Source organism: Homo sapiens, chromosome 21 (genome assembly GCF_000001405.40).
Source record: "Homo sapiens chromosome 21, GRCh38.p14 Primary Assembly".
NCBI lineage: Eukaryota > Metazoa > Chordata > Mammalia > Primates > Hominidae > Homo > Homo sapiens.
The window spans coordinates 10,389,879-10,402,201 of NC_000021.9; the positions used below are offsets into that span (position 1 = coordinate 10,389,879).

The 12,323-nt window shown below is 46.4% G+C and overlaps 1 annotated feature.

The window, feature by feature from the left end:
* Positions 11,426-11,589: a silencer, noted in NCBI's record as "fragment chr21:11110990-11111153 (GRCh37/hg19 assembly coordinates)". NCBI's record gives its function as "represses an EF-1alpha promoter that drives an FKBP-Casp9 reporter gene in an ReSE screen in phorbol 12-myristate 13-acetate-treated (for megakaryocytic differentiation) K562 erythroleukemia cells {active_cell/tissue: K562(+PMA)}" and the evidence as "EXISTENCE:reporter gene assay evidence [ECO:0000049][PMID:32094911]".

The following is a 12,323-nucleotide window of genomic DNA, read 5'->3' on the forward strand; positions in this document are numbered from 1 at the left end:
AATGGTCCCAGAGATGTCCATATCCTAATCCCCATGAGGTAGACAGAATAGTGGTCCCAAAGATGTCCACATCCTAATCCCGTGTGGTAGACAGAATAATGGCCCCAAAGATGTCCATGTCCTAATCCCATGTGGTGAAAACAATAATGTTCCCAAAGATCTTCACATCCTAATCCCATGTGGGAGACAGAATAATGGCCTCAAAGATGTCCACATCCTAATCCTCATGTGGGAGACAGAATAATGGCCCCAAAGATGTCCACATCCTAATCTCCATTTGGTAGACAGAATAATGGCCTCAAATATGTCCATGTCCTAATCCCATGTGGCAGACAGAATAATGGCCCCAAAGATGTCCACGTCCTAATCCTCATGTGATAGACAGAATAATGGCCCCAAAGATGTACACATCCTAATCCCCATGTGGCAGACAGAATAATGGCCCCAAAGATGTCCACATCCTAATCCCCATGTGATAGACAGAATAATGGCCCCAAAGATGTACACATCCTAATCCCCACGTGGCAGACAGAATAATGGCCCCAAAGATGTCCACGTCCTAATCCCCATGTGGTAGACAGAATAATGACCCCAAAGATGTCCACATACTAATCCCCATGTGGTAGACAGAATAATGGCCTCAAAGATGTACACATCCTTATCCCCACGTGGCAGACAGAATAATGGCCCCAAAGATGTCCACATCCTAATCCCCATGTGGGAGACAGAATAATGGTCCCAAAGATACCCATGTCCTACTCCTCATGTGATACAGAGAATAATGGTCCCAAAGATGTCCATGGCCTAATACTAGGTAGCAGACAGAATAATGGCCCCAAGGATGTCTACATCCTAATCCCCATGTGGGTTGACAGAGTAAGCACCCCCTTCCCCCCCTCAAAAAAATATCCACATCCTAATTCTAGAAATCTGTAAAAACCTGTCATGGCTAAAAAGATTTTGCAGATGTGATTAGTTTAAGAATCATGAGATGAAATGACCCTGGATTATCCAGCTGGGTCTAAGATCATCACAGGATCTTTGTAAGAGGGAGGCAGGAGTGCCAGAGCCAGAGGAGGTGATGTTAGGACAAAAGCAAAGGTCAGAGTCACAGAGAAATTAGAAGATGCTGCACTACTGGCTCTGAAGTTCAAGGAAGGGTCCAGGAGCCAAGGAATACTCTAGAAACATTCCCCTAGAAGCAGGAAATGGCAAGGAAACTGATTCTCCCCCAGAACTTGCATCAAGAGGGAAGTTTTGCTGACACCTTGGTTTTAGGCCAGTGAGACCCAGGGTGGGCTTCAAAACTACAACACTGTAAGACAATACATTTGTGTTGCTTTAAGCCAATACGAATGTGATCATTGGTGATGGCGGCCAGAGGACACTCACAGAAGGAGTAATGTACTGGAGGTCTGCAGCAGGAATGAATTTGGCATGACTGGGGGGATGCCCAAGGGGGCAGCAAAGAAGAACAAGCAAAGGCTAAACGTGATGACTCCTTGTTTTAGAAGAACCCCCTTCAGAAGAAGAATCAGTAAAGCAAAGGCTGAACTCAACTTTGTCTTCTTTTCTTCCCCAGACATAATTTACGTTATTTTATTGGGACCACAGAGTCCCAGTTGGAGCAAGTGACCAGGGGCAGAGTTACAAAGAAGCCATAGGGAAGTAGTTAGATTGTATTCTGACTTCGATGTGAAATTATTGGCGGGTTTTGAGTGGCAATGAGGGATGTCTTATTCAGCTCGGGTTGCCATAACAAAAATTATAGACTGGGTGGCTTAAGTAACAGCCATTGATTTCTCACAGTTCTGGAGATGGGGAAGTCCGAGATCAAGGTATGGCAGATTTATTGTCTGGAGTGGGTCCTCTTGCTGGTTCACAGATGGTGCATTCAGAGAGAGAAAGAGAGAGAGAGAGAGAGCACTTTTGTGTCTCTCGCTCTTCTTATAAGGATACTAATCCCGTCATGAAGGACCCATCCTCATGACCTCATCTAAACCTCATCACCTCCAGAGACTTCACCTCCTAATATCATCCCATTGGGGATTAGGGTTTCCATATGGTGCATTTTGGAGGGACATGACTAGTAGGGGTTAGGCCTTCAACATACAAATTTTGGGAAACTTTGCTATTTAGTCATTAGCAAGGGATGAGGACCACAAGCTAAAAATCATCTCTATTTTTGAAAGATTTCTCTGCTTAAGAATAATTCCAGGATCAAAGCAGAAACCAGGACAGAAGCCAAGAGATCAATCAAGAGGATGTGGCTATGATCCAGATGACATATGTCATGCATGAGGGTGAAGAAAGCAAAGGCAGGAAAATCTGATCCAATTTGACAAATGTTTGAGGTCATTCAAGAGACTTGCCAATGAATTGTATAAGGGGGAGATGAGAGAAAGAAGAGTTCAAAGTTTCCAAAGTCTTCTGCCAAAACACTTCTCAGGGGTGGTGGTGAATCCAGTGAAGGCTTTCCAGATGGTTTGGGATGGGTTAACTTGGAAGCCCTAATCATTTATCTGAGCTGAGAAGTTGAGCATACAGTTACATGCATGAATCTGAAGTAGAGAAAAGATGTCAAAGCCAGAGATGGGAATTTAGGATTTTGAGTGGATGTGTCAAGTCCTGGGGCTGAGTGAGATCCCCTGGAGAGAGAAGGAAGCTTATGTTTGAGCCCTAGTTCAGCCCAACATTTAGAAGAACCCCTTTGGGAAGAGGAGAAGAACGAGCAAAGGCTAAATGTGACTCCCTGTTTTAGAAGAACCTCCTTCAGAAGAAGAATCAATAAAGCAAAGGCTGAACTCAACTTTGTCTTCTTTTCTCCCCCAGACATAATTTATGTTCTTTTATTGGGAGTTTGTTTCCCACTCAACCTTTCAGGTTAGAGCTCTGAAGTCACGTTTGATTTTTCCCTCAACATCAAAGAGACACAACAGTTTGCTTCTGTGGTGACTGTTTTTTGTTTGTTTTTGTATTTTTGTTTTTTTGTTTTTGTGTGTGTGTTTGTGTTATTTTAATTTGTTTGTTTGTTTGAGACAATGTCTCACTCTGTCACCTGGGCTGGAGTGCAGTGGCACAATCTCAGCTCACTGCAACCTCCACCTCCTGGGCTTAAGTGATCCTCCCACCTCAGCTCCCCTAGTAGCTAGGACTACAGGCACACACCACCACTCCTGGCTATTTTTTCTATTTTTAATAGAGATGGGGGTCTCATCATGTTGCCCAGGCTGGTCTTGAACTCCAGAGCTCAAGTGATCTGCCTGTCTTGACCTCTCAAAGTGCTGGGATTACAGGTGTGAGCCATGGTGCCCAGCCTCACTGGTGACTTTGAATGCCTTCTCACTTCTTCCTTCCCACTCCATGCTCCAGGTTCAAAGACTCCATTACCACCATCCATCCCATGCCAGAGTCTCCAGGCTTCCATCTTCAGTGCCATCCCTTCTCATCCATCCTATGCATGGGTTCCAAGGTAATAGGTCTAAACACATTTAGACCTATTTAATATGTATAAGCATAAATGTTGACATGACTGGTCACAAAATGTTGGTGGTTTCTCATCAACTGCAGAGAATAGTTCAGGATCCTTACCTAAGTGTCTGAGATCTTTCATAAATTCACACATGGAAAGATGTGGCCTCTCTGTCTGTACTTCATCACATCACACCCAGCACCTCAATCTCTGACTCCATCATCAATTTCCTAGTTCCCTGAGTTTGCCTGCCCAGCCCTGAGTCATTGTAACATCTGATTCATCTTTTAAAGTTTAACAACAACAACAACAAAATCATCTGCTCTGAGAAGCCAGCCTTTCTCAGGTGCAGAGATTATCCCAGAGATAGACATATGGTTCAAGACAGGCTAGTTAACCTTCCCCTGAATTTGATCAGCAAAGACTGAGAGGGTGGTGGGAGAAGCTCAGACTGTGAATCTATAGCTACAGCAGCTGGATTTTTTTTTTCCATCCTATATTCCAAGACTTTTTCTGAGAGAATCTAGTCTGGAACCCAGAGAGAAGCAGAGAGTTGAGAGAGTCATCAGAACTTGGGAGATCCCTGAGAAGCTGTCCACCTCTACTTTTTGAGACTGTTTTTCCTAGACTCCCTTGCAGCTCTGTGTGACTGTATGATGAACTTTGAGCTCATGAGAAGTAAGTAGGAATGTATTAAGACCATAAAAATCTCTTTAATTTTGTAAAAAAGTGAATGTGAACTCTTCCCTCTCCTTTTGCTGCTAGCTGCAATGGAGATGTGAGGGCTGGAGACCATGCCACCATATTGAACCATGAGTAGAAAGTCACATACTAAAATAGTGGAGCAACAACATTCAAAATGCCTGACATCTTGAATCTGTACAATAACCTGGACCCCTTGTTCTGGCCTCCTATCATATCAGAGAGAAACAAACTTCCATCTTATTTAAGTCATGATTATTTGCTTATTTCCATACATTTGTTTATGCAGTTATACGATATTTATTCCATCTATCTATTATCTATCTATCATCTATCCTATCTATCTAACCATCTACCCATCATCTATCCTATCTTTCTATCCCTCTATCATCTATCTATCATCCATCTTATTCTATGTGACTATCAACCATCTTATTCTAACTATCTATCTATCTATCTACCTATCTATCTATCATCTCTCCTATCTAATCTATTTATCTATGTATCTATCCATCTTATCTATCTACCTATCATTTATCTATCCTGTGTATCAATGTATCTATCATGTATCTATCTGTCCTAGTTATCTATCAATTATGTATCTATCCATCCTATTTATCTACCTATTTTATGTATCTATTAAACATCTACATATCTATATATATTACCTATCATCTAGCTATTTATCTATCTATCCTATGTATTTATCATCTATTTATTCTATCTATATCTATTTTTTTCTCTATCTATGTCTCTATCTATCTATCTATCTATCTATCTATCTATCTATCTATCTAGAGATTTCTTAAGTCCTTGGGAATCCTGAGGTCAGCTCCATCATAGGATCTCACAGTTATATTAGTTCAACAATTTTCTTTCTCTGCCTAACTTACTCTGAGTTGTGTTTCAGTTGCTGTTGATTGGAACAAACCTCAAAAAGAAATTGGGACTATTATAATATTGCATTTATGGGTGGCTGACTTATGATGCTGCCTTCCTTGTCTCTGGATCCTGAGTCCTGCATCCAACCCAGTTCCACAGCCTGGGTATCTAACCGTTTCCCTGGAACTCAGTAACATTTGAACTGAAATGCCATTTTCTTGTTGGGATCATTATAATACTTTGGAAAACTGCCTTGGAATTAATGTGGTTACCCTTTGCATCTGTAAAATAAACAGGCATTTCTTTAGAAGGAGAAACTAAGGTTTCACAAAGACCTTCAGGGTCTGTTTTTCTTACACCAGAAGTCACACTCAGGCCAAGTAACATGTTCTGGTTCTGGCCCTTAGTGCTCCTGGTTGGACTAATGCCTGGGGCTCCCTCAAGGATTTCCTTCCCCATCTCTCCCTATTTTAGCCTCTCCCCAGGGGAAGAGGACATTGCTTTCATATCCTAACACCTTACCTGAAAATCCCCCATGTCTCTAAAATAAAGATGGAGGAAGCTCCCCCCCATTATTTATTTATTTACTTACTTTTTTGAAAGACAGTCTCGCTCTGTCACCCAGGCTGGAGTGCAGTGGCTCGATCTCCACTCACTGCAAGCTCCGCCTCCCGGGTTCACGCCATTCTCCTGCCTCAGCCTCCCGAGTAGCTGGGACTACAGGTGCCCGCCACCACGCCTGGCTAATTTTTTTGTATTTTTAGTAGAGACGGGGTTTCACCGTGTTAGCCAGGATGGCCTCGATCTCCTGACCTCGTGATCCGCCTGCCTCGGCCTCCCAAAGTGCTGGGATTACAGGTGTGAGCCACCGTGCCCGGCCTCTCTCCCTCTTTCTATGTATATGTCAGTCTTTCTCTCTCTGTGTCTCTCTTAGTGTCTCTCTTTCTTTGTATCTGTCCCTCTGTTTCTGTGTCTCCCTCTTTCTATCACTATCTCTCTGTGTGTTGCTGTCTCTTCATCTCTGTCTCCCTCTCTCTCTCTGTCTGTCTCTGTTTCTGCTTCTCTGTCTCCATCTCTTTCTCTCTCTGTGTCTCTCTTAGTGTCTCTCTGTCTCTGTCTTTCTCTCCATCTCTGTATCTGTCCCTCTGTTTCTGTGTCTCCCTCTTTCTATCACTGTCTCTCTGTGTGTTTCTGTCTCTTCATCTCTGTCTCCCTCTCTCTGTGTGTCTGTCTCTGTTTCTGCCTGTCTCTGTCTCTCTGTCTCCATCTCTTTCTGTGTCTCTCTTAGTGTCTCTCTGTCTGTCTCTGTCTTTCTCTCCATCTCTGTATCTGTCCCTCTGTTTCTGTGTCTCCCTTTCTATCACTGTCTCTCTGTGTTTCTGTCTCTTCATCTCTGTCTCGCTCTCTCTATGTATCTGTCTCTGTTTCTGCTTCTCTGTCTCTGTCTCTCTGTCTCCATCTCTTTCTCTCTCTGTGTCTCTCTTAGTGTCTATCTGTCTCTGTCTTTCTCTCCATCTCTGTATCTGTCCCTCTATTTCTGTGTCTCCCTTTTTCTATCACTGTCTGTCTGTGTGTTTCTGTCTCTTCATCTCTGTTTCCCTCTCTCTCTGTGGGTCTGTCTGTTTCTGCCTCTCTGTCTCTGTCTCTCTGTCTCCATGTCTTTCTCTCCACCTCCCTGTGAGGTGGGAGCCTCACCCTTAGCCCACTGGCTACCACCCTGGTCCACATCTTTCCCCCTAACAGCGACAGACGTAAAAACCACAGCTCCTCCCAGGACACTGCCTCAATGTGGCCCCATTTCTCTTCATCAGATCTCTCCCTTCAATGCTAATAAGTCTGTCTCCAACTCCGCGTTTCTTTTGGGGAAAAAAAAAGGAGAAGAAGGCTGGGCACAGTTGCTCACACCTGTCATCGCAGAACTTTGGGAGGCCGAGGCGGGTGGATCACAAGGTCAGGAGATCGAGACCAGCCTGGCCAGCAGGGTGAAATTCCGTCTCTACTAAAAAACCCAAAAAATTAGCCGGCCATGGTGGCAGACGCCTATGATCCCAGCTACTTGGGAGGCTGAGGCAGGAGAATCGCTTGAAACCAGGCGGCAGAGGTTGCAGTGAGTCAAGATCACGCCACTGCAATTCAGCCTGGGTGACAGAGCAAAACTCTGTCTCAAAAATAAAAGGGGGAAATATTCGATTAATAAACAACAGCCTCACATGTGCTCACCACTGGGTTGAAGCAAAGCCTTCTTCCAAAAGCAAAAATTGGAAAAATATGCTACCGACAGACTGCCCCTAAAGGTAATATTAAACAGGGACTCCAAAGGCAGAAGAGAAGCTGACCCAATGCGACATGAAAATTCAGGAAGGACACAACAGCGGTGAGAACTCAAGATAATGTGAGTAATTGTAAATACATATTGACCTTATAAAACGAGTCATTGCCAAATTTGATCTGGTGACCTGTATAAAATGTCAGCTTCTGAGGGGAGAACACTGTCCACAATAACAACAAGGCTGTACACATAGGCATGGTGGCCTTGGGGAGCGTTTGCCAGGCTGCAAAAGCCACCTCGCAGGTAGGTAGGCTGGAGCCAGGTGGGAGGTGGGTGGGAGCCAGCAGGAGCCGGGGGGCCCTCTCAGGCCGCTTCTCTGGGTAATGTCGTATTCGCCACACAGCAGCCTGGTGGCCCTGCCTGTTGCCTTCGAAAGAGAGCCTGCCATGATCCTGGCTGTTTCTGTCTCCAGGTACGATGAAGAACTGGCCCGGGGTGACAGGGCTGACCGGGAGCTGAGAAGTCGTCAGGGCCAGTCTCTGTGGCCCAGAGCAGGCCGATAGAGAGATCGGGGAGAGCTGTCCTCACCACCTGGAAGTGAGTCCCACCCAGACCTTATCAAAACTACTCACTCCACCTGGGCCGCTGCTGAAGCCCTATTTTGAAATTTCCCTTTTCCAGAGCTTTTTTCCTGTCCTAAGCCCCATAAATAAATGAAGGCACTTCTTTGGAAGGTTATGGAGTCTGTTTGACTAGTGCTAAAGGAAACAATTCACGCAGATGTATAAAACTTGCTTTTTAAAAAAAAATTTAACCTAAGCAGAATTTTCATATTAAAAACTCACTTTTTTTGACAGAAAGTAACAGCTTCAGCATATAATTTGATGTTTCACAAGGTTTAAACATTAAAAAAACTCTAAATTAAAAACAAAACAAATCTTATAGACTAGTCCTGCCATTAGAGAGGAATGTATTTAACTGACAGCTCTTTTAGTTGCGTTTCTTTTTACTTGACTGTGATATTTTTTTTTTTCCTGAGACAGAGTTTTGCTCTGTCACCCAGGCTGGCGTGCACTGGCACAATCTTGGCTCACTGCAACCTCTGCCTCCTGGGTAGGCTCCCAAGTAGCTGGGATTACAGGCATGCGCCACCACACCCGGCTAATTTTTGTATTTTTAGTAGAGATGGGGTTTCACCATGTTGGGCAGGCTGGTCTCAAACTCCTAACCTCAGGTGATCTGCCCACCTTGGCCTCCCAAACTGCTGGGATTACAGATGTGAGCCACCATGCCCAGCTTACTTGACTGTGATTTTGAGGAAAAGAGGCGACTAGAAATATTCCTTTGTAATATATCTTTACAAAGGCCTTTGTCTAGGTGCTCCCAGGAAGACCTGTCTTCTTTTCTTTTCTTTTTTTTTTCTTTTCAGATAGGATCTCTCCCTGTCACCCAGGCTGGAGTGCCGTGGTGCGATCATGGCTCACTGCAGCCTCAACTTCCTGGGCTCAAGTGAGCCACCCGCCTCAGCCTCCGGAGTAGCGGGGACAACACAGGCACACACCACCACCCCCACCTGATTTTTAAAGTCTTTTGGTAGAGACAGAGTTTCACCATGTCAGCCAGGCTGGTCTCAAACTCCTGGGCTTAAGCAATCCACCTGCCTAAGCCTTCCAAAGTGTTGGGATTACAGGCATGAGCCACCATGCCTGGATTCAAAAAGACCTGTTTCTACCACTTCAGTTTTGTGGATGAATCTGTTGTAAATTGAAGCAGATGAGTGAAGACAGGTCCAGCTGTGTGCCTTTTATGAAGTCAGCAGCTGAGTTTGCTGCAGGGAAGTGCCATGGGCAGCCAGGAGCTGTGGGAGGAGTGATGGCTGTGGGGACAGGCTGCACGAACATGGTGTTCCCATGCCGTTTCCCAGTAGCCCAGTGACTTACAGGCGTGTATGGAGAGGACCTGAGTTGGTGGGTAGATGGACAGATGCATCTGAGTAATAACTCATGAGTTACAGTGCTGTTCTTAGGAAGGGTCTTTTTTTTTTTTTTTTTTTTTGAGGTGGAGTTTCACTCTTAACACCCTGGCTGGAGTGCAAAGGCACAATCTAGGCTCACTGCAACCTCCACCTCCTGGGTTCAGGTGATTCTCCTGCCTCAGCCTCCCAAGTAGGTGGGATTACAGGCGCCCACCACCACGCCCAACTAATTTTTGTATTTTTAGTGGAGACAGGGTTTCACCATATTGGCCAGGCTGGTCTCGAACTCCTGATCTCGGGTGATCCTCCTGCCTCGACCTCCGAAAGTGCTGATATTACACGCGTGAGCCACCGCGCCTGGCCAGGAAGGGCCTTTTACTCATGGTCATATTAACACGTATTTGCTGAAGTTTCACTCGCTGTCTTGAGTTTATCTTTAAAGCTTGCCACCTGTTTTTGTTGTGATGCTAGTAACAGGAGTTTGTTCTCCCAAATGGCACCAAGGGTATGTCCTTCAGATAAGGGTCTTCCCTGACTTGCCCAAGCTCTCTCAGTACTCATGCATGGACGTGTGTTAAGTGTACATGCTATATTGTGTGTGTGTATATATGTGTACATATATTTAATGATGTTTCACTGCCAGTTAGGGAAAAATAGGTCTTTTCAACACATATGGTAGAATAGAAAGTGAGAGAAACATACATACAAATGGCACTTGGCTAGACTCCAAATAAACTGCAATTGGTGGACTTTTCAGCCGTTCCTTCTTCATGATCTTATTGGTATGTGTGTTGTGTGTGTTCCCTGGTGTTTAAGTTTTTGTTTTTGTTTTGTTTTGTTTCTTGAGACAGAGTCTTGCTCTGTCGTCCAGCAGGCTGGAGTGCAGTGGTGCGACCTCAGCTCACTGCAACCTCTGTCTCCTGGGTTCAAGAGATTCTCATGCCTCAGCCTCCCAAGAAGCTGGGATTACAGATGTACACCACCATGCCTGGCTAATTTTTGTATTTTTAGTAGAGATGGGGCTTCACCATGTTGGCCAGGCTGGTCTCAAACTCCCAACCTTAGGTGATCTGACTGCCTCAGCCTCCCAGAGTGCTGGGAATACAGGTGTGAGCCACTGCGCCCAGCCGTGGCATTTAGTTTTAATGTGTTTGCTGTTGATGGCGGGTGTGGGATGGAGATCCCCGAGTCAGACTTGGCCTTGTGGCCTGACTCTGCTGTTTATTAGCTGTTTCCCAAGCCTGTCCCTGGGGTCGTTGCACCTTTGTTTCCCACTGTATAAAATGGGGAGTTCAGTGGCCAGGCGCAGTGGCTCATGCCTGTAATCCCAGCACTTTGGGAGGCCAAGGAGGTTGGATCACCTGAGGTCAGGAGTTCGAGACCAGCCTGGCCAACATGGTGAAACCTCATCTCTACTAAAAATACAAAAATTAGCCTGGAGGCTGAGGCAGGAGAATCACTTGAACCCAGGAGGAGGAGGTTGTGGTGAGCCGAGATCGCACCATTACACTAAAGCCTGGGCAATAAGAGCGAAACTCCGTCTCAAAAAAAAAGGGTGGGGAGGAGTTCTGCTTGCCTCAGGAACAACCAGTGTCACTGCACAGGGACCCTGCCCACCCACCTCACTGGCTCTGGCGAGCCCTCTTACCCCCCAGGAGGGGGCATCCTTTGAACAGCTGGCGGCTCCACCTCGGCTCCTACACACAGAGGTGAAAGACACCCTGTTAACTGTTCCCAGCTCTTCCACCGGTTTTTACAACCTGGTTTTCAGTTACATTGTTTTGTTTTTGCCTCTCTCTGGGAGAAGGGTGGAGTCCCTGGTTGGGAACGTTGGCCTCTCAGGCTCTGGGGCCATGTAGTCCTAATGGAAGAGTCACACCAAGTGGTTAGTTTGCTGGTGACCCAGTTGCTAGGTGAGGGTGAGGCTCCGCTAAGTGGATTTATGTCATATAGTGACTGTCTCATTAATGATTTACTGATGTCATGTTCCGGGCAGATGTTTCCTCTGAGCACTTCCAGGACACAGGTGGGAAGGGTGCGGTGTTGGCAGCCAGCCTCGGGAGGCTGTCGGGCCAGGAACAGCCCCACTCAGCGCTAGGCCGGGCCCGAGCAGTGAGCCCTGCTGGGAGCTGTCCAGGAGCCGCTGTTGTTTTCTTGTCAGCCCCCACCCACTTGATGGGATGGGTCCCAGGCCAGAGGGTTGCATCCTGTGGTCGTTTTCACCAAATTTGATAAGATTGGTTTTTCCCAATATAAACCCATCCTCCACTAGGCACAGTAGCTCACGTCTGTAGTCCCAGCACATTGGGAAGCTGAGGTGGGTGGATCACCTGAGGTCAGGAGTTTGAGACCAGCGTGGTCAACATGGTGAAACCCCATCTCTACTAAAAATACAAAAATTAGCTGGGTGTGATGGTTCATGCCTGTAATCCCACCTACTTGGGAGGCTGAGGCAGAAGAATCACTTGAACCCAGGAGGTGGAGGTTGCAGTGAGCCGAGATCGCACCACTGTACTCCAGCCTGGACAATGGAGCAAGACTCCATCTCAAACCAAACCAAACCAAACCAAACCAAACCAAACCAAACCAAACCAAACCACTATCCTTCACCTCCTTTGCACACGGGCTTCTCCCTGGGTATTAGTGAGGGCCTGGTGACAACCTTCTCACTGTCTCCCTTCTCCTCCACCTCCCACCTGGGCTCCCATGGAGACCCCATCAGTCTGGGCCCGCATCTGGTTGCGCTCCACCGGCTGCTAGGACTTTCCTCGCAGGGGGCCATTTCCCCTCCACACAGTGGTTCTTCAGGGGGATCCATAAAGCCTCCTATGCTTGCCGCCCGTTGGCCTGTTGGCTCACACTGCCACACACCATGTCCACAAGCGCCAAACACACGCAACTCCTCTCTGAGTCCTCCCAGGGGCCAGCGCACTCTCCACCCTCCCCTCTGGAGCCATTCCCAGCTGTGTTGCGGCCATCTGGCCCTCTCCCCACAGCACCCCTGCAGCCTCTCTGGTCCGGGC